Here is a 21,772-nt window from a genome sequence, read left to right as displayed (position 1 = left end):
CAGGGCTCTGTGCACAGAGGGGTGGGTGAAGGAGTGAAGAAAGGAAGGAATGACAGTGCGCCTGCCTGCCTCATGCCGAACATGCTGGCAGAGGGCTGGGACGCTGCTATCTGGGTGTGCCTGCCTGCCTCATGCTGAACACGCTGGTGGAGGGCTGGGACTCTGCTCTCTGCGTCAGCTGGCATAGCTGCAGCCTGGTACAAGGAGGCTGAGGGTGAAGTGACGCTCTCAAGGCTTCAGGATTTTTAAAACAGAAAAATATTTGTTTCTTTGGAGACAGGGTCTCACTCTGTTGCCCAGGCTATAGTGTAGTGGTACGATCACAGCTCACTGTGGCCTTGACCTCCTGGGCTCAAGGGATCTTCCTGCCTCAGCTTCCTGAGTAGCTGGGACTATAGTACAATGTTTTTCTTTTTCTTAAGAGAAGGGGACTTGCTATGTTACCCAGGCTGGTCTTGAACTCCTGGCCTCAAGTGATCCTCCTGCCTCAGCCTCCCAAACGACTAGGATTATAGGCGTGAGCCACCGCGCCCAGCCAGGGCTGCAGAATTAACATTGAGTAGCCCAGTGCCTGAGTCTGGGTGGCTCACTCTCTTCGACCCCACATGGCTGTTTTCTAGGGGGCTTGGAGAGAGGTCGCTGACCAGGCTTGGTGGCGTCTGCAAAGTCTGTCCCCTGGGAGGTCTGGATCTGTTACCCATCGTAGGCAGCTCCTAAGAATAATCCTGGGCCTGGGTGACTTCTGGTCTTGGAGCCATTTGTACCTCAATGCCATACCTTGGACAGGGGGTCCTTCTCCTGCTCCACAGTTGGAAGAAGAGGCTAGGAGAGGAGGATGAAGCAGGGCTCTGTTGTGCTCCGGGGAGGGGGAGATTGTGGGGGCAGAATAAGGGACTCCTTGTACCTGACTGAGTCTGCCTCCCAGGAGGGAAATGATGTTGTTGGTTTGGCAAATGCTGCCTGAGCCCGGCCCCACTTTTGAAAATACAGGCAGCGGAACGCATGCCCAGATCCCAACATCGGGGGCTCCGCGTTAACGGGGCCAAGGAGGGGAGAGTCTATAGCTATGAAACATATCATTTCCAGGACTGTAAAGAGGGTATGGAGTGTAAGGCATCTGCCTTGAGTGTCCCCCAAAACCCTCAGTCATTGAGATAGGTAATATTTTAGCACAGTATTTCAGAAAATCTAAATCAATGTGCAAAAAGAAAAAAAAAATTCCATGATGAGCAAAAATAGCAAGATTTTAAAGAGACTCGAGCCTGCTGGGCCAGGCCTTGCCTCACGGGCTTCCCCTGATCTGACCCTGGGAGTTTCCTGGTTGTGATGACGTAGCTCCTCCTACTGCCGTCTCTACTTTTTTTTTTTTTTTTTTAATTTTTAGAGCTGGGGTCTTGCTCTGTTGCCCAGGCTAGAATGCAATGGTACAATCACAACTCACTGTAGCCTTGACTCTCTGGGCTCAAGTGATCCTCCTGCCTCAGCCTCCTGAGTAGCTGGGACTATAGGTGCATGCCACTGTGCCCAGCTAGTTTTTTTTTTTTTTTTTTTTTTTTTTTGTAGAGATGGGGTCTCACTATGGTGCCCAGGCTGGTCTTTAACTCCTGGTCTCAAATGATCCTCCACCTCGGCCTCCCAAAGTGTTGGAATTACAGGTGGGAGCCACCGCACCTGGCACAAATGCTCTTATCTGAACATTCTCTACCTGGACCCCAGCCTCAGAGGGATGTGTCTGTCTCCCTGACCTGGACAGGGACTAGGTTTGAGGCAGGGGATGTGCCTCATTCATTTGAGTCTCTGGCCAGCCCCTTGGAGATGTCATTGGCAAGGGATGGGTCTGATAGAGCTGCTGATAAGACAATATGTCCATATCTTAACCCCATACCACCAACTTTTGAATGTGACCTTATTTGGAAAATAGGGTCTTTGGAGATGTAATTAGTTAAGATGAGGTCATTAGCGTGGGACCTAGTTCCATATGGATGGTGTCCTTCTAAAAACAGAAGACAGGGTCAGGTGTAATGGCTCACACCTATGGTCCCAGCACTTTGGGAGGTCAAGGTGAGAGGACTGCTTGAGCCCAGGAGTTCAAGACTAGCCTGGGCAATACAGGGAGATTCCATCTCTACAAAAAAAAATTTTTAAGCAGCCTGGCCAACATGGTGAAAAAACCCCATCTCTACTAAAAATACAAAAATTAGCTGGGCATGGTGGCAAGGCACCTGTGATCCCAGCTACTCGGGAGGCTGAGACACGAGAATCGCTTGATCCTGGGAGGTGGGGGTTACAGTGAGCTGAGATGACGCCAATTAACTTGAGCCAAGATGGCGCCACTACCCTCCAGCCTGGGCAACAGAGCAAGAAGAGCCTGTCTCAAAAAAAAAAAAAAAAAAAAAAAAAAAAAGGAGGAGACAGGATTGAGATGAATGATGCAGACACAGAGGGAAGAAGTCCATGTGAAGAGGAAGAGGGAGGCAGGGACTGGAGTGATGTGGCCAAAAGCCAAGGAAAGCTTGGACCCCTAGAAGCTGGAGGAGGCAAGAAAGGGTCCTCCCTTGGAGCCTCTGGAGGCAGCACAGCTCTGCTGACAGTTTGACTTTAGACTTCCAGCTTCCAGAACCATAAGAGAATAGATTACTGTGGTTTTAAGAACTCCACCTCCCGGGTTCAAACAATTCTCCTGCCTCAGCCTCCCAAGTAGCTGGAATTATAGGCACCCGCCACCATGCCTGGCTAATTTTTGCATTTTTAGTAGAGATGGGGTTTTGCCATGTTGGCCAGGCTGGTTAAAAATTTTTTTGTAGAGATGGAATCTTTTTTTTTTTTTTTTTTTTTGAGACAGAGTCTTGGTCTGTCACCCAGGCTGGAGTGCAATGGAGTGATCTCCGCTCACTGCAACCTCCGCCTCCCAGGTTCAAGCAATTTTCCTGCCTCAGCCTCCTGAGTAGCTGGGATTACAGGCGCCTGTCACCATGCCCGGCTAATTTTTGTATTTTCAGTAGAGACGGGGCTTCACCATGTTGGCCAGGCTGGTCTCCAACTCCTGACCTCAGGTGATCCGCCTGCCTCGGCCTCCCAAAGTGCTGGGATTACAGGCGTGAGCCACTGTGCCTGGCCGAGGTGGAATCTTTCTGTGTTGCCCAGGCTGGTCTTGATCTCCTGGGCTCAAGAGCCCACCTGGCTTGTAGCGGTTCCTTAGAGGAGCCACAGGAAAGTAGTTCGGTATGTGTCACGTGATTTCAGTGACTACAACTGGGTGACCCAGAATGAGGTGCCTTATTGACCTGTCTGCCTTCACAGCGCCCTGTGGACTGTGGGGATGAGGGAGGAAGGCTCAGAAGTGAGACCAGAGCCCAGCAGCATCTGGGTCCCAATTCCACACACTGCACTGCCCTTTGTAACAACTCGCCAATCCTGTCTCTTGCTCCATTGCCCAGGCTGGAGTGCAGTGACACGATCACAGCTCCCTGCAGCCTCAACCTCCCAGGCTCAAGTGATCCTCCTGTCTCAGCCTCCTGAGTAGCTGGGGCCACAGGTATGCCCCACCACGTCTGGCCCCAGTGTCTAGTTTCTAGGCATAGGCCCATAATCCTTTGCTGAAAACTCCTGGCGGATGTGCCTCAAGTGCACGAATTAATCACACGTGTTGATGTTTTCACAATGAGGTGTTTGTGCATTTTGCACACACGAGCTTGGGTTTTGTGGTCAAGTGAAATGAACAGACACAAGTTCTCAGCACAAGGTCTGGCGTGGTGGCACACGCCTGTAATCCCAGTACTCTCGGAGGCCAAGGCGGGAGGATCCCTTGAGCTAAGGAGTTCAAGACCAGCCTGGAAAACATGACGAAACCCTGTTGCTACAAAGAAATACAAAAATTAGCCGGGTATGGTGGTGTGACCCTGTAGTCCCAGCTACTCCAGAGGCTCACGTCAGGGGATCACTTGAGCCCAGGAGGTCAAGGCTGCAGTGAGCTTTGATTGCACCACTACACTCCAGCCTGGGTGACAGAGTGAGACCCTGTCTCAAAAATAAAAAGGCGCTCTTGGGAAAGTCTGGATTTGGGGTAAGGCTCTGGGGGCTGCAGAACCTGACCCAGTGCCCATGCGTAGATGTGCCGGGATGGACGGGGTGTGGACACTCACTTGCTCTCCTCGTCCAGCAGGTAGAAGAGGCCCGTGGGTTTCTTGCTGATGAGATGGATGCAGCCGACATTGTCTGTGTAGCCGATGTTGTGCCACGTGATCCCCTCGCCCTGATATTCCTCCTGCAGGGGTGGCGCGGGGTCGGTAAGTTTCTTATCTCCCAGATATGTAATATCTACATAACATATATTGCATACAGGTCGAGTATCCCTAATCCGAAAATCTGAAATGCTTCAAAATAGGAAACTTTTTAAACTGATGCGTGGCTTAAAATTAACTCTAATAGGGCTGGGCACAGTGGCTCACGCCTGTAATCCCAGCACTTTGGGAGGCCAAGGCAGGTGGATCACCTGAGGTCAGGAGTTTGAGACCAGCCTGACCAACATAGCAAAATCCCATCTCTACTAAAGATACAAAATTAGCCAGGCGTGGTTGCACAAGCCTGTAATCCCAGCTACTCAGGAGGCTGAGGCAGGAAAATCGCTTGAACACGGGAAGTGGAGGTTGCAGTGAGCCAAGATTGCGCCATTAGTCCTACTCCAGCCTGGGCAACAAGAGCGAAACTCCGTCACAAAAAAAAAAAAAAAAAAATAGCTCTAATAATACACTTAATTTAACATGATATATCCAAAATGTGATCATGTTAACATGTAACTGACATAAAAAGTAACTGAGAGGCCAAGGTGGTAGGATCGCTTGAGGCCAGGAGTTCAAGACCAGCCTGGACAACATAGCAAGATCCTGTCTGTGCAAAAAATAAAAAGTAAAAAATACTTTACTGAGGCTGGAGGATGGCTTGAGTCCAGGAGTTTGAGACCAGCCCGGGCAATATAGCAAGACTCCATCTCAAAAAAAAAAAAAAAAATCCAAAACTTTTGGACTGCCAATGTTATGTGATGCTCAAAGACAACGCTCATTGAAGCATTTCAGATTTTGGATTTTCAGATTTGGGATGTTCAACCAGTAAGTATAATATAAATATTGAAAAATCTGAAAAAAATCCCAAACCTGAGACACTTCTGCTCCCAAGCAGTTTGGATAAGGGATCCCCACACTGTAGGAACATATTTATGTATCAATAGGCATGTTTACATATAAATGTATCTGCATGTGTGTGTTCTTTGCAGCACTATTCACAATAACAAATAAGTAATCTAAATGCCCACTAATGGATAAAGCAAATGTGGTGCATATACATCAAGGAATACTACCCAGCCATAAAAAAGGAATGAGGTCATGTCCTTTGCAGGAACATGGATGGAGCTGGAGGCCATTACCCTTAGCATACTAATGCAGGAACAGAAAACCAAATATTGCATGTTCTTATTTATAAGAGGGAGCCAAATGATGAGAACACATGGACACATAGAGGGGAACAACACACACTGGGGCCTATTGGAGGGTGGAGGGTGGGAGGAGTGAGCGGATCAGGAAAAATAACTAGTGGGTACTAGGTTTAATACCTGGGTGATGAAATAATCTGTACAACAAACCCCCATGACACAAGTTTACCTATGTAACAAATCTGCACATGTACCCCTGAACTTCAAAGTGAAAAAAAAAAACATAAATATATCAGTAACAAAATGCATATGAGTAAATCAATATGAATACATTAATAGTTACATAAACTTACTAGATAAATGAATGATTGTAAACAGGAAACAAGAATGCACATTCTTAAATACTGATCACAGCATGGCACTTTAAATATCACACAAGGGCTGGGCGTGGTGGCTCACGCCTGTAATCCCAGCACTTTGAGAGGCTGAGGTGGGCAGATCACCTGAAGTTAGGAGTTCAAGACCAACCTGGCCAACATGGTGAAACCCTGTCTCTACTAAAAATACAAAAATTAGCCGGGCCTGGTGGCACACACCTGTGACCCCAGCTACTGGGGAGGCTGGGGCAGGAGAATCACTAGAACCTGGGAGGTGGAGGTTGCAGTGAACCGAGATTGCACCATTGCACTCCGGCCTGAATGACAGGGCAAGACTCTGCCTCAAGAAAAAAAAAAAATCACACTTAAAATCATTTAGAGGTTGGCAAACTTTCTCTGTAATGGGCCAGATAGCACCTTATGAACCAGACAATGTCTGTTGCAACTAACAGTCGTGATGTGAAAACAGCCACAGATGATAATGCAAACCAAAGGCTATGTGCCAATAAAGCTTTATTTATAAAAACAATTTGTGGGACTGGATTTGACCCACAGGCTGTGGTTTGCTGGCCCCTGTTCCAGAGCTATGTTGTCCAACAGGAATCTTCACATTTTCTTTTTTTCTTTTAAGAGACAGGGTCTCACACTGTTGCCTACATTGGAGTGCAGCGGTGCGATCACAGCTCACTGTAGCCTCAAACTCCTGGGCTCGAGTGATCCACCTGCCTCAACCTCCCCAGTAGCTAGGACTACAGGCATGTGCCACTATATGCCTGGTTAATAAAAAAATTTTTTTTCGCAGAAACTCCATCTCAAATTTTTTTTTTTTAGAGACAGGGTCTTACTCTGTTGCCCAGGATGGGGTACAGTGTTGTGATCATAGGTCACTGCAGCCTTGAACTCCTGACCTAAAGCAATCCTCTTACCTTGGCTTCCCAAACCACTGGTATTGTTAGCATGAGCCACCATGCCCAGCCTCAAATTTTCTAATAATCACATGTAAAAAGTAAAAAAAAAGGTGAAATTAATTAATTTTTTTTTTTTTGAGACAGGGTCTCGTCTGTCACCCAGGCTGGAGTACAGTGGCACAACTGTAGCTCATTGCAGCCTCGACCTCTTGGGCTCAAGGGATCCTCCCACCTCAGCCTCCTCAGTAGTTGGGACTACAGATATGTGCCTCTGTGTGGCTCAAAATTAACTTTAATAATACACTTAATTTAACCCTGTGTATCTAAAATGTGATCACGTTAATGTGTAACTGACATAAAAATGACTGAGAGGCCAACGTGGGAGGATCACTTGAGGCCAGGAGTTCAGGACCAGCCTGGGCAACATAGCAAGACCCTGTCTCTACAAAAAATAAAACCAAAAAACTAGCTGGGTGTGGTGGTGTGCAACTACAGTCTCAGCTACTCAGGGGGCTGTGGTGGTAGGATCGCCTAAACCTCAGCGTTTGAGGCTGCAGTAAGGTACTGAGACCGTGTATGTTCTTTTTTCTCATGTGCTAAGTCTTCACAATTTAGTGTGTATGTCACACCCTTCCTGCACAACTTAATTCTGACCAGCTACACTCCCAATGCTTCACTGCCAAAAAGCTTAATAGGAAAATCAGCTGGATATTTACATAAGCCTGTCAGTTTCATTTTCCCATCAGAATCATCAACGTGAAGGAGAAGACATGAATAAGGATGGTTGACTATTTAGCTGCAAAAAGACACATCAGGGCCAGGCGCGGTGGCTCACGCCTATAATCCCAGCACTTTGGAAGGCCAAGGTGGGCTGATTGCCTGAGATCAGGAGTTTGAGACCAGCCTGGCCAGCATGGTGAAACCCTATCTCTACTAAAAATACAAAAAATTAGCTGGGCATGGTGGCATGCACCTGTAGTCCCAGCTACTCGGGAGGCTGAGGCAAGAGAATCGCTTGAACCAGGGAGGCAGAGGTTGCAGTGAGCCGAGATCGTGCCACTGCACTCCAGCCTGGGCAACAGAGCCAGACTCCATCTCAAAAAAAAAAAAAGACACGTCAGATAGGTTATCAATGTCCTTGAGCTAAGCAAATCCTTAAAAGGCAACCCTGTTTCTCAACTAACAAAAAGATTTTCTGTTTGGACACAGAAGCCCCCACATGAACTGTGGCTCAAAACATTCCTGACATTTGCCTCATCCTGGGCTGGGTGGGTTTTCTTAAGTTTTCCTTTTGACTGAGAAAAATTCTGGGGCAAGTTCACCAATGATCTGGGCCTCTAGGGAGATTCCGGTTCTAGCTCATGCTATTTTCCCTTTGGGCTGGGTGTGCAACAACATGATATTTCCTTATAAAATGCTGCAGCTGTTATGGAAAACAGTATGGTGGTTCTTCAAAAAAGTTAAAAACAGAATTACCATACGATCCAGCAAGTCCACTTCTGGGTATATACCCGAAAGAATTGAAAGCAGCGTCTTGAAGAGATATTTGCACACCCATGTTCAAAGAAGCATTATGCACAATAGCCAAAAGCTGGAAGCAACCCAAGTGTCTACTGAAGGATGGATGGATAAGCAAAATGTGGTACATCCAGAAAATGGAATATTACTCAGCCTTGAAAAGGAAGGAAATTCTGACACATGCTACTATGTGGATGAACCATGAGGACTTTATACTATGCGAAATAAGCCAGTCACAAAAAGACAAATAATGTCTAATTTCACTTATATGAGGCACTTAGTCAAAAATGATAGAGACAGAAAATAGAATGGGCCAGGCATGGTGGCTTACACCTGTAATCCCAACACTTTGGGAGACCAAGGTGAGCAGATTGCCTGAGCTCAGGAGTTCGAGACTAGCCTGAGCAACATGGCAAAACCTTGTCTCTACAAAAAATACAAAAATTAGCCAGGCATGGTAGTGTGCACCTGTGGTTCCAGCTACTCGGGAGGCCGAGGAAGGATCACTTGAGCCTAGGAGTTTGAGGCTGCAGTAAGCTATGATTATACCACTCTAGCTGGGTGACAGAGCAAGACCCTGTCTCAAAAAAAAAAAAAAAAAAAAAAGTGGAATGGGGTGAGTTCAGGGCTTGCAAGAGGGGGAATGGGGAGTGAGTGTTTCATGGGGACAGAGTCTCAGTTTGGCAAAATGAAAGAGTTCTGGAGATGTATGGTGGTGGCGTTTGCATAACAATGCGAATATGTGAATGTACTTACCGCCGCTGAACTGAATATTTACAAATGGTTAAGATGGTAAATTTCACGTGATGTCTGATTTACCAAGTTCAAAAAATTGACAAAAAAGCCCTTTCCGCACCTGCTCCAGCTTGAAGATGTGCTGGTTGAAGTAATACTGCAGCTGCTCATTGGCGTAGTTGATGCAGAACTGCTCAAAGCTGTTCCTCTCGAAGTCTTCAAACCCGAAGATGTCCAGGACCCCAATGGACAGGCACTGGGAGAGACAGAGAAAATGGTCACTGCCCGCAGGTGCACCCCGAGGGAGCCAGCCTTCATGAGAGGGGTTGGCTCTACAGGCTGTGACCTGTTAGGTCCCCAGTCCCTGTTGCTCGGCAGAACACTTTGCCATTACCAGCATGGAATCCATAATTTTTTTTTGGAGATGGGGTCTTGCTCTGTTGCCCAGGTTGGAGTGCAGTGGCGCCACCACAGCTCACTGCAGCCTTGACCTCCTGGGCTCAAGCAATCCTTCTGCCTCAGCCTCCTGAGTAGCTGGGACCACAGGTACATGCCAGAATCTGTCGTTTTTGAATAAGGGGCCTTATGTTTTCATTCTGCCCTGGGCCTGTTGAATTTCGTAGCCTGTCCTGTTTCCTGGGCCTGTCCTTGTGGGGAAACAGCCTCTTGATTGCAGATGCCTCGGCTCCGGATGTTCCAGGTCGCCCACCAAGGATATTGGTAGTGAGGATGTGGCCTCCCCTGGCCGGGCTTGAGGAAGCAAATGGGGGCACTCACCGAGACTGCCTCTTCCACGTCCTTCTTGTTGAGGAGTGCGTGGTTGATCCGCAGCACAATCCAGTCGAACAGGGCGCTGTACAGAGACTTGGCCATGGAGTCGCGGGCAGTGATGGCCTGTGGACACAGAGGGGGTGACTCACCTCCGGCACGGCAGGCCCTGCGCTGGAGTCTTGCTCTGTCATCCAGGCTGGAGTGCAGTGGCATGATCTCGGCTCACTGCAACCTCCACCTCCTGGGTTCAAGAGATTCTCCTGTCTCAGCCTCCCAAGTAGCTGAGATTACAGGCAAGCGCCACTATACCTGGCTAATTTTTGTATTTTTACTAGAGATGGAGTTTCACCATGTTGGCCAGGCTGGTCTCAAACTCTGACCTCAGGTGATCTGCCTGCCTTGACCTCCCAAAGTCCTGGGATTACAGGCATAAGCCACTGTGTCTGGCCAAGATGGCCCTTTGTACTTTTTTTTTTTTTTTTTTTGACACAGGGTCTCACTCTGTTATCCAGGCTGAAGTGCACTAGCGCAATCTTGGCTCACTGCAAACTCCACTTCCTGGGCTCAAGCAATCTTCCTGCCTCAGCCTCCTGTGTAGCTGGGGCTATGGCGCACAACACCACACCTGGTTAATTTTTAATATATACATATATTTTTGAGGTGGAGTCTTGTTCTATCGCCCAGGCTGAAGTACAGTGACACAGTCTTGGCTCACTGCAACCTCTCCCTCCTGGGTTCAAGCGATTCTCCAGCCTCAGCCTTCTGAGTAGCTGGGATTACAGGCACGCACCACCATGCCTGGCTAATTTTTGTATTTTTAGTAGAAACGGGGTTTTGCCATGTTGGCCAGGCTGGTCTCGAACTCATGGCCTCAAGCGATCTGCCTGCCTTGGCCTCCCAAAGTGCTGGGATTACAGGCGTGAGCCACCGTGCCTGGCCTTAATTTTTAATTTTATTGTGGAGACGGGGTCTCACTATGTTGCCAAGGCTGGACTCTAACTCCTGGGCTCAAGCAATCCTTCTGCCCTGGCCTCCGTAAGTGTTGGGATTACATGCGTGAGCCACTGCAACCAGCCAAGGTGGTCTCTGTCAACACTCGACTCATCCAACACCCATATTTCACCCTGTCCTGGAGGATGTGCCTGCACACTGAGGCGTTAACAGACCCAGTAGCCTCTGGAACGGCCGCTGAAGCCTTTCCATACGCTCCTCAGAGCAACCAAAATTGCTGCTGAGTGAGGAACCTGGGCTCGGGGAGGGGGTGGGGCGTGCGACTGTGGTAGAACCAGCAAGGAGGGTCTAACTAACTTCAGGCCCCTTGTTCTTCCGGGTGCACCATGTGGCTGTCACCGTGTGCATCAAAGCTCTTTTGTGGCCGGACGTGGTGGCTCACGCCTGTCATCCCAGTACTCTGGGAGCCGAGGCGGGTGGATTGCCCGTCTCTACTAAAGATGCAAAAGGAAAAAAAAAAAAAATCTGGGCACCGTGGCTCACGCCTGTAATCCCAGCATTTTGGGAGGCCGAGGCGGGTGGATCACCTGAGGTCAGGAGTTCAAGACCAGCCTGACCAGCATGGTGAAACCCTGTCTCTACTAAAAATACAAAAGTAGCCGGGCGTGGTGGCACATGCCTGTAATCCCAGCTGCTCAGGAGGCTGAGGCAGGAGAATTGCTTGAACCCTGGAGGCGGAAGTTGCAGTGAGCCGAGATCCTGCCATTGCACTCCAGCCTGGGCAACAGGAGCGAAACTGTCTCAAAAATAAAAATAAATAAATAAATAAATAAAAATGCAAAAAAAATTAGCCAGGCCTAGTGGCGCACACCTGTAATCCCAGCTACTCAGGAGGCTGAGGCATGAAAATCACTTGAACCCAGGAGGCAGAGGTTGCAGTGAGCTGAGATTGTGCCACTACACTCCAGCCTGCGCAACAGTGAGACGCTATCTCAAAAAAAAAAAAAAAAAGAAAAAAAAGAAGCTCTTAAGGTCTAATCTATATGGAATAAATTGGCTTTTTTCCCCACATATTCAGGTCTCAGCTCTGACAGATGTATTCAGCTACAGACAAGATCTAGAATGTGTCCCCCTCGTTTTGCATTTCTTGGGTGTCAAGGAAATGGAGCCACACAGAATGCAGCCCCTGCCTGGTGCCTTTGGCTCTGCATGGAGCCTCTGGGGACACCAGTGCTGCTCGGGTCTTGGGTGATATGCAGCAATATCACGTGGTGCCCTGGACCCATGTGGGCTCAGAATGTCCCCGGTGCCTGTTTGAAATGCCACAGCAGCTTCCCATCGGGTGAGGGGCTAAAAATCCCTGCCGTGATTAGGTACTTTCCTATTGTTAAACAAGCTGCAAGTGATCCTGCTCTTGAGATGTAAAAATGCAAGAGAAATACAGCACAGAGAAAACATCCAGGCTGGGGCAAAGACCAGAGGGAGGCACCTGATCAAGGTTTAGAGTCACAGGCTTGAGACTCACAGGCTGGGAGTTACATAAGGGTAGTCAGTGTCATGTTCCAGAGTCTAGGGATGGGCAAATTCTTTTCTGGAAGGGATGAAGGAGTCATTATTTTTGGCTTTGGGGCCTGATGTTCTCTGTTGCAACTGCTCTGCTTAGCTGCTATGGCTCCAAAGCAGTCTTAAGTGGTATGTAAATGAATGGGTATGGCCATGTGCCAATAAAACTTTATTAGCAAAACCAGGTGGAGGGCTGGATCTGGCCAACCATTGCTAGTGAGAACCAGCATGCACACGGAACATCTGGAAACACAGAGTTGAATGCATGTGGCTCAAGTTCTGGCCTGAGGCCCATGGTTTGCCTCCCAGGCTGGCTTGTGCCACACCTGAGCTTGCATGACAATCAGAGGCACTGCCTAGGTTCCATTCTAGCATTCAGGGACAGAACAGCCCACCCATGCCGGCTCTTTCCAAAGACCATTCCCACTTGGTTTTTGGGATCTGGCACCCTGTGAGTGCCTGGGCAGAGCTCACCTCGCTGAGGCTGTAGGGAAGGATAAGCTTGTCGTTGACGGTCACCGTTTTTCTTTTGGTCAGAACCTCCACCAAGATTTCTCGCTTCACCTGTTTGGAGGTCAAGGAGAGGGAGAAGGAAAAGGGAGATGGAGGACTTATCAGGCATGTCCTGGTATCACTGAGGCAACGCCCGGAGCCTGAGGCAGCTGGGAGACGGACCCCCAGCAGCCAGGCCTAGAAGTGGGACCTGAAGCCCACCCACCCACCCGCGATGTGCTGGTTTTTTGGTTTTTGTTTGTTTGTTTGTTTGAGACAGAGTCTCACTCTATCACCCAGGCTAGAGTGCAGTGGCACAATCCTGGCTCACTGCAACCTCTGCCTCCTGGGTTCAAGCAATTCTCCTGCCTCAGCCTCCCCAGTAATTGGGATTACAGGCACCCGTCACCACACCCAGCTAATTTTTGTATTTTTAATAGAGATGGGGTTTCTCTGTGTTGGCCAGGCTGGTCTCGAACTCCTGACCTTGGGCGATCTGCCTGCCTGGGCCTCCCAAAGTGCTGGGATTATAGGCGTGAGCCGCTGCACCTGGCCTGCGATGTACTGTTTTACACTTGGCAGGTTTCAGAATTCCCACATAGCACGGGCTTGCCGGATGCTCATGCTCCGTGGCCCGGGTATGTGTATGTACAGGCCTTATGTGAGTGCGAGCCACGGGTCCAGGTGGCCGCCTTGCCTATTGGAGCTGGTGGTTCCCATCCATTGCACAGGGCCTGGGCTTAGACCTTACCCAGACAGCCGACACGCTCATCCCTCCCCGCACTGCCAAGCTCCCTTTCAGAGCTGGTGGTCTCTGCCCACCAGCAGCAAGAGTGGGGAATAAGCGGCAGCTTTCTCCTTTTTTTTTTTTTTAGATGGAGTCTTGCTCTGTTGCTCAGGCTGGAGTGCAGTGGCGCAATCTTGGCTCACTGCAACCTCTGCCTCCTGGGTTCAAGTGATTCTCCTGTCTCAGCCTCCCGAATAGCTGGGACTACAGGCACCTGCCACCATGCCCAGTTAATTTTTGTATTTTTAGTAGAGATGGGGTTTCTCCATATTGGTCAGGCTTTGGGGCCTGAAGTTCTCGAACTGGTCTCAAACTCCTGACCTCAGACGATCCACCTGCCTCAGCCTCCCAAAGTGCTGGGATTACAGGCGTGAGCCACCGTGCCTGGCTGGCAGGGGCTTTCTCTAAATATCCCAGCAGATGCTCACATATCCCCAAGAACTCAACAGAAGCTGGGGCTCCTGTACCAATAATGGAACGCAAAGCATAAATGGATTAAAAAACAAAAGACTGGGGTAGGGCTCCTCGGCCTCACTGCCATTTGCACTTGGGGTTGGATAATTCTTTGCCATTGGGGGGCTGTCCTGTGCGCTGTGGGGTGTTGGGCAGCATCCATGGCCTCTACCTAGCAGATGCCAGGAGCAACCCAGAGTATGGCAACCAGAAAGTTCTCCAGACATTGCCCAGTGTGTCCTAGGGGCAGAACTGCCCCTGGCTGAGAACCGGTGGAGGAGGAGGGGATGGCAGGTCCAATGAGAAAATGACTTGATCAAACTAGAATTTTTTGTTTTTTAAGAGACAGGGCCTTACTCTGTCACTCACCCAGGCTGGAGTTCAGTGGCATGATCACAGCTCACGGCGGCAATGAACTCCTAGGCTCAAGCAATCTTCCTGCCTTGGCCCCCTGGGTAGCTTGGATTACAGGAGTACACCACCAATACCTGGCTAATTTTTGTATTTTTTGTAGAGATCGACAGACGCTATGCTGTACAGGCTAGTCTGGACCTCCTGGCCTCAAGTGATCCTCCTGCCTCGGTCTCCCGAGTAGCTGAGATTACAGGTATGAGCCACCGCACCCAGCCCCAAGCTGTAGTTTTTTTTTGTTTGTTTTGTTTTGTTTTGAGACAGAGTCTCGCTCTGTCGCCCAGACTGGAGTGCAGTGGCGCAATCTTGGCTCACTGCAGCCTCTGCCTCCCAGGTTCAAGTGATTCTCGTGCCTCTGCCTCCCAAGTTGCTTGGACTATAGGCATGTACCACCACCACTGGCTAATTTCTTTTTGTATTTTTAGTAGAGATGAGGTTTTGCCATGTTAGCCAATCTGATCTCGAACTCCTGACCTCAGGTCATCCGCCCACCTTGGCCTCCCAAAGTACTGGGATTACAGGTGAGACACCGCACCCGGCCCCTGAGCTGTAGTTTTAAAGAGGCTTTCACTTGAGGGTGGGAGGAGGAGGTGCCCCTGTCCACAGAGCTCATCAGAAATGAGGAAGGAACACTGTAGAGATGATAGCGGAAGACGTGAGGTCCTGGTTGATGAAACCTCAGCTGACGTAGGAAGTTCTGGGTATGGTCCCTCGTACTGAGAGATAGCCAGCGGCCCTGAGCCAGGCCTGAGAAGGGACAGAGGTGGCAATCAGTACCTTCAGAAGCTGCGACAGGGTGTCCAGCACCTCGGGTGGCCCGACCTCCAACCCTTCCTCTCGGCCTGTAGCTCTCTTCTTATAAGTGACGTTGCCCAGGTACAGGATGGCCGAGAGGACGGCAAAAATCCTGGGAAAGAAAAGGCACTCATATTTGGGTAGTTTCTACGTTCCTAAGACAGCAGATACTTCCCAGGGAACCGGGCTGAATCCATAAAACCAGCAAATTCTGGTCGGAACGCATGAAATTTGAAAAATGTCTAAGGCCTCTGTTGAGGATGGCCTCTGTGGAATGTGACTTTGCAGACAGTTATCTTTTTCCTGGATTTGATCTGGCTCTGTCGCCTAGGTTGGAGTGCAGTGACACAATCATAGCTCACTGTAACCTCCAACTCCTGGGCTCAAGTGATTCTACAGCCTCAGCCTCCTGAGTAGCTGGTACTACAGGCCACCATATTTGGCTAATTTAAAAACATATTTTTAAAGGGATGGGGTCTTGCTATGTTGCCCAGGCTGGTCTCAAACTCCTGGCCTCAAGTGATCCTCCTGTCTTGGCCTCCTGAATAGCTGGGATTATTGGCACGAGCCACTGCACCTGGCTAGACAGCTATTTTCTTTTTTTTGGAAACAGGGTCTCACTCTGTCACCCAGGCTGGAGTGCAGTGGTGCGATCACGGCTCACTGCAGCCTCAACCTCCCCGGGCTCAGTTGAGCCTCCTATCTCAGCCTCTCAGGTAGCTGGGACTACAGGTTTGTACCACCATGCCTGGCTAGTGAAACTGTCTCACAAAAGAAAAAAGAAGTGTACGGATCCCTCTGACTAGCCCCCAGACCAAGAAATAGAACATTCCAAGTCCTGGATCCTAGAGCCCCCCAACACCAGAGGAACCACTGTCCTGACGTCTAATGCTGTCTGTGAACTTGATGGGATGGTACTTGTGTCTGGCCAGTCACTGGCTATGTTGTCCAGGATGGAGTCCACTGGCTATTCAGAGGTGCCATCTTTTTTTTTTTTTTTTGAGACAGAGTCTTGCTCTGTCACCCAGGCTGGAGTGCAGTGGCGCAATCTCGGCTCACGGCAGCCTCTGCCTTCTGTGTTTAAGTGATTCTCGTGCCTCAGCCTCCTGAGTAGCTGGGATTACAGGCGTGCACCATCATGCATGGCTAATTTTTCATATTTTTAGTAGAGACAGGGTTTCGCCATGTTGCCCAGCCTGGCCTTGAACTCGTGAGCTCAGGCAATCCACCTGCCTTGGCCTCCCAAAGTGCTGGGATTACAGGCGTGAGCCACTGCGCCCGGGCCAGAGGTGCCATCTTAGCTCATTGTAGCTGTGAACTCCTGGGCTTAAGTGATCCTCCCACCTCAGCCTCTCAAGTAGCTGGGACTACAGGTGTGTGCCACCATGCCTGGATAATTTAAAAAAAAATTGATGGGGTCTTGCTATGTTACCCAGGCTGGTCTCCAACTCCTGGTCTCAAGCGATCTTCCTGCCTTGGCCTCCCAAGTAGCTGGGATAACAGGCATGAGCCACCATGCCTGGTTTAAAAAAATTTAAATTGCTGGGCGCGGTGGCTTGTGTTTGTAATTCCAGCATGCTGGGAGGCTTACGCAGGTGGATGGCTTGAGCCCAAGAATTCAAAATTAGCCTGGGCAACATGAGGAAACCCCATCTCTACAAAAAATTGTCCAGGTGTGGTGGCACGCGCCTGTAGTCCCAGCTGCTTGGGAGGCTGAGGTGGGAGGATCACCTGAACCAGGGGAGGTCGAGGCTGCAGTGAGCCATGATCTCGCCACTTCACTCCAGCTTAGGTGAAAGAGCGAGACCCCATCTAAAAAAAAAAATAATTAAATTGTAGTAACATAAGCATAATATAAAATTCACTACCTTAACTTCTTTGATTTTTAGAGACAGGATCTTACTCTGTTGCCCGAGCTGAAATGAAGCGGTACAATCCTAGCTCACTTACAGCCTTGAACTCCTGGCTTTAAGTGGTCCTGTTGCCTTGGCCTTCCAAAGCACTGTGATTACATGTGTGAACAACCGTACCCAGCATTCTTTTTTTTTTGAGACTGGGTCTCGCTCTGTCACCCAGAGTGGCGTGATTAGTTCAGTGGCATGATCATGGTGGCTCACTGCAGCCTTGTCCTCCCAGGCCCAAGTGATCCTCCCACCTCAGCCCCACAAGTAGCTGGGACCACAGGTGCATACTACCACGCCTGGCTAATTTTATTTATTTTTTGTAGAGATGAGGTCTCACTATGCTGCCCAGGCTGGTCTTGAACTCTTGGGCCCATGCAATCCTCCACCTTGGCCTCCCAAAGTGCTGGGATTACAGGCGTGAGTGAGCCACGTGGAGCCTGGCTAAACCATTTTTAAGGGTACAATTCAGCAGTGTTAAGTATGTTCACGTTACCTTTAATTGGCATCGCCTAATGACCAATGTCTTGAGCCCCTTCTCATGTGATCGCTGCTATTGGGCCACACTCCCTATGGCGGCACTGTTCAGGACACTGCCTGCCTGTTTTCACTGGGTTGCAGGTTAGACCTCAGAGTGACTGGTAAGGGCCATGCGTGCCCCCTGTAGGCTCTGGGGGACAGGCCCCGGGAGCCCGCACACTTACTGCTTCTTGGTGGCGGGGAGGAAGCCCACCATCTCCATGGCCTGCTTGAGCCTCTCAAAGTCATGCTTCAGGTCCTCCCCATCTTCAATCTTCAAGTTATGCTGGAAAACAAAGGCATGGGTACTCTGGGCATTCCTGGGCCGGCAAGGGTGGCGTGCCAGAGTGATTTTGGCTGGAGCTGGTGGGGCAGGGCCCCAGGACCAGGGGAATGAATGGGTTCTTTTAATGCTGCCTTCTGGGAGCGGGTTCGGGGGCCAGGGCAGGCTGCCTCTGACTTCCCGGCTATACATAAACAGCTTGAGGCCGGGAACAGAGGTGGCGTTTGTGGCTCGGGCTTGAGGCTGTTTACCTGGTTGAGGTAGAAATAATCTTCAGGCTGCTTGAGCTGAAATTCTTGGCGCTCTTCCTCGCTGACCCCAAGTAACAAATAATAAAACACATGGTAGTTCCTACAGGTCAAAATTGGGAGGAAAATAGTTGTTTTTGGAGGCCAAGTAATAGCTACTCTGCGAACCACTACTAACATGGCTTTGGAGAGCACACCTCAAATATGTACAAATTTAAAACAGTACGTCAGTTCTTACTATGTCTTAAAAAAACAAAACAAAACAAATGAGTGTCGTGAGCGAGTAGATTTCTGGAGGATTGGAGGTGGGTGGGTGTACATCTCACTTATTTGTCAATCAGAAATGTTTCTTTCTTTTCTTTTTTTTTTTTTTTGAGATACGGTCTTGCTCTGTTACTCAGGCTGGAGTGCAGTGGTGCAATCACAGCTCACTGCAGCCTCGACCTCCTGGGTTCAAGTGATCCTCCCAGCTCGGCCTCCTGAGTAGCTGGGACTACAGGTGTGTGTCACCATGCCCAGCTAATTTTTTTTTTTTTGGTCTTTTTTGTAGAGATGGGATTTTGCCATGTTGCCCAGGCTGGTCTCGAACTCCTGGGTTCATGTGATCCTGCCTCTTAGGCCTCCCAAAGTGCTGGGATTACAGGTGTGAGCCACTGCTCCAGGCCTTTCTTTTTTTTTTTTTTTTAAAAGAGACAAGGACTCTAGCCGGGCGTGGTGGTGCATGCCTGTAATTCCAGCTACTCGGGAGGCTGAGGCATGAGAGTCGCCTCAGGCATGAGAATTGCTTGAATCCAGGAGGCGGAGGTTGCAGTGAGCTGGGATCACACCACTGCACTCTAGCCTGGGTGACAGAGCAAGACTCTGACTCAAACAAACAAAAACAAAAACAAACAAACAAACAAACCAAAAAAACCCCAACCAACCAACCAAAAACAGAGACAAGGACTTGCTCTGTTGCCCAGGCTGAAGTGTGGTGTCTAGCTCACTGCAGCCTCAACCTCCCGGGCTCAGGCGATCCTCCCGCCTAGGCCTCCTGAATAGTTGGGACTACAGGCACGTGCTACCATGCTTGAGAAATGTTTCCAATCTAAGTATATTTTGTGCAGACATCTGAGCACATACTGGGGATAAAACCTCCAGGGAGGCACACAAAGGTGGCTTGGGAGGTATGAGGACAAAGTGTGAGGCCACAGGGGCAGGTCTGGGGAGAAGATGGATGGGCAGGCCCTGCTCCTGTGAGAGCCTCCACGGCCTCCCCCAGAATTCCTCCGACCTCAGGACGTTTGCTTTGCTTCTCTCCTCTGTAGGAGGAAACGTAGACATGGCGTGGCATTCAGAGATTCCTGGGAAAACATTCTCCTACCTCTCATCCTTCTCCTGAGACACCAGGCGAGACTTTTCAAGCAGATATTTCTCGACGACAGCTCTGTCATTAAGAGAAAAACAGAAAGAATAAAACATTACATTTTAGTATTGTGTTAATATTGAGTTGTTTTTTTTTTTTTTGAGATGGGAGTCTCGCTCTGTTGTTCAGGCTGGAGTACAACGGCACAATCTCGGCTCACTGCAACCTCTGCCTCCTGGGTTCAAGCGATTCTCTTGCCTCGGCCCCCACAGTGGTTGGTTGGAACTACAGGGGTGTGCCAACCCCCACCCAGCTAATTTTTGTATTTTTAGTAGAGGCGGGGTTTTGCCATGTTGGCTAGGCTGATCTCAAACTCTTGACCTATGTCAAGTGATCTGCACGCCTTGGCCTCCCAAAGTGCGGGATTACAGGCATGAGCCACCATCCCTGGCCAATATTTGTTATTCACTGTCTTTTTTATTCTAGCCACCCTAGTGGGTGAGCAGTGGTATGTCCTTGTGGGTTTTTTTTTTTTTTTGTGATGGAGTCTTACTCTGTTGCCCAGGCTGGAGTGCAATGACGTGATTTCTACTCACTGCAACCTCCACCTCCTGAGTTCAAGCGATTCTCCTGCCTCAGCCTCCTGAGTAGCTGGGATTACAGGCATGTGCCACCATGCCTGGCTAATTTTGTATTTTTAGTAGAGACGGGGTTTCTCCATGTTGGTCAGGCTGGTCTCGAACTCCTGACCTCAGGTGATCTACCTGCCTCAGCCTCCCAATATGCTGGAATTATAGGCATGAGCCACTGCACCCAGCATTCGTTTTGACGCAGGATCTTGCTCTGTTGTGCAGGCTGGAATGCAGTAGCACGATAATGGCTCAATGCAGCCTTGTTCTCCTGGGCTCAAGTGATCTTCCCACCTCAACCTCCCGAGTGGCTGGGACTACAGGCTAGTTTTTGTAGTTTTTGTAGAGATGGGATTTCGTGATGTTGTCCAGGCTGGTCTGTAACTCCTGGCCTCAAGTGATCTACGTGTCTCAGCCTCCTGAAGTGTTGGGATTACAGGCGTGAGCCATGCATCTAGCCTGTCACTGTGGTTTGGATTTGCATTTCCCTGATGACCAATGATGCTGAACATCTCATGTGCTTGCTGGCCATTCATAGCTCTTCTCTGATGAAGTATACATTGACGTCTTTTGTGGTTTTCTTATTGGGTGTTGGTCCTTTTATTGAGCTGTAAATGCTCTTTCTATATTCTAGATGCAAGTCCTTTGCTGGTTCTGATTTGCAGGTACCTTCTCTGGGTCTGGGGATTCCTTTCCAATTTTGTCACAGTGTCCTTGGAAGCACAGGGGTCTGTGATACCCAGCAATACTTGGTTGTATCCATATGGTCTGGTGTTCTGCCGTTTATTTATCATTTTCTTTCTTTCTTTTTTTTTTTGAGATGGAGTTTTGCTCTCGTTGCCGAGGCTGGAGTGCAATGGCGTGATCTCAGCTCACTGCAACCTCTGCCTCCTGGGTTCAAGCAATTCTCCTGCCTCAGCCTTCCAGTAGCTGAGATTACAGGCGCCCACCACCACGCCCAGTTAATTTTTGTATTTTTAGTAGAGACAGGTTTCACCATGTTGGCAAGGCTGGTCTCGAACTCCTGACCTCAGGTGATCCACCCACCTTGGCCTCCCAAAGTGCTGGGATTAGAGGCGTGAGCCACTGCGCCCGGCCTTACCAATCATTTTCTCTGTGCCAAGCAGTTAAAGTGTTTCCTCCAAATTAAGTTCTCAGAGGTCCCTCAGGAGGCACCTGGCATCATGTGGGACCTTGAGTCTGAGGGTACCAGCACAGGGACTGGGGTGTCTCTGCAGCCCCAAATATCTCTCAATGCTAAAAGTAGTGGCAGTGAATGTTTTTTCGAGGAAAAATATGTTCTAGGCATCATTTGATGTATTTCTCAGGGACTCCTCTTCCATACTGGGGCAGGCACGGTGGCTCCTGAGGAGTGGACAAGGAGCCAAGGCTTGGTGAGACTATGTGCTGCCCAGGGCCCCTGTGGGAAGAGGGTGGCCTGGTGGGATCCTTTCGCACCAGCTGGGGCTGGCTAAGTCTGGTGGGGCCGGTCTATCACAGGGTCCGCCATCACCAGACATGTGAGCTCACTGGGGCCTCCAGATCACCCTCATCTGAGCCCATCCTGTTATGCAGGAGACACAGCTGGTGCCCAAGGAGTGGCAGGGCCAGGGGACAGCACGAGGTTCCCAATTCAGGGTCTGCTGAACGCCTGTCTCTCC

At 49.6% G+C, this 21,772-nt stretch overlaps 1 protein-coding gene across 2 annotated transcripts in view, besides 4 other annotated features; it reads right to left on the bottom strand.

Moving 5' to 3' along the window:
• Window positions 1-21,772, bottom strand: part of MYO9B (myosin IXB) — a 137,510-nt gene that overhangs the window by 41,080 nt on the left and 74,658 nt on the right. For both annotated transcript variants that reach the window (NM_001130065.2, NM_004145.4), the window contains exons 4-11: window positions 19,501-19,563; window positions 18,141-18,240; window positions 17,792-17,892; window positions 15,169-15,298; window positions 12,723-12,812; window positions 9,741-9,857; window positions 9,085-9,219; window positions 4,143-4,264 (exon numbers count right to left, since the gene is read on the bottom strand). In NM_001130065.2, the coding sequence (NP_001123537.1) occupies window positions 4,143-4,264; window positions 9,085-9,219; window positions 9,741-9,857; window positions 12,723-12,812; window positions 15,169-15,298; window positions 17,792-17,892; window positions 18,141-18,240; window positions 19,501-19,563 (858 nt within the window). The remainder of the gene's footprint in view (window positions 1-4,142; window positions 4,265-9,084; window positions 9,220-9,740; window positions 9,858-12,722; window positions 12,813-15,168; window positions 15,299-17,791; window positions 17,893-18,140; window positions 18,241-19,500; window positions 19,564-21,772) is intronic.
• Window positions 10,575-11,390: an enhancer, noted in NCBI's record as "H3K27ac-H3K4me1 hESC enhancer chr19:17271627-17272442 (GRCh37/hg19 assembly coordinates)". NCBI's record gives its function as "activates a minimal SCP1, AML or CMV promoter by ChIP-STARR-seq in naive H9 embryonic stem cells {active_cell/tissue: H9 hESC(naive)}" and the evidence as "EXISTENCE:reporter gene assay evidence [ECO:0000049][PMID:30033119]".
• Window positions 11,391-12,208: an enhancer, noted in NCBI's record as "OCT4-NANOG-H3K27ac-H3K4me1 hESC enhancer chr19:17270809-17271626 (GRCh37/hg19 assembly coordinates)". NCBI's record gives its function as "activates a minimal SCP1, AML or CMV promoter by ChIP-STARR-seq in naive and primed H9 embryonic stem cells {active_cell/tissue: H9 hESC(naive and primed)}" and the evidence as "EXISTENCE:reporter gene assay evidence [ECO:0000049][PMID:30033119]".
• Window positions 12,209-13,026: an enhancer, noted in NCBI's record as "OCT4-NANOG-H3K27ac-H3K4me1 hESC enhancer chr19:17269991-17270808 (GRCh37/hg19 assembly coordinates)". NCBI's record gives its function as "activates a minimal SCP1, AML or CMV promoter by ChIP-STARR-seq in naive and primed H9 embryonic stem cells {active_cell/tissue: H9 hESC(naive and primed)}" and the evidence as "EXISTENCE:reporter gene assay evidence [ECO:0000049][PMID:30033119]".
• Window positions 18,857-19,604: an enhancer, noted in NCBI's record as "H3K27ac hESC enhancer chr19:17263413-17264160 (GRCh37/hg19 assembly coordinates)". NCBI's record gives its function as "activates a minimal SCP1, AML or CMV promoter by ChIP-STARR-seq in primed H9 embryonic stem cells {active_cell/tissue: H9 hESC(primed)}" and the evidence as "EXISTENCE:reporter gene assay evidence [ECO:0000049][PMID:30033119]".

Source organism: Homo sapiens, chromosome 19 (assembly GCF_000001405.40).
Source record: "Homo sapiens chromosome 19, GRCh38.p14 Primary Assembly".
Classification (NCBI taxonomy): Eukaryota; Metazoa; Chordata; class Mammalia; order Primates; family Hominidae; genus Homo; species Homo sapiens.
The sequence above is the reverse complement of the archived record's forward strand: the minus strand, read 5'-3'. Positions and strand labels throughout refer to the sequence as shown.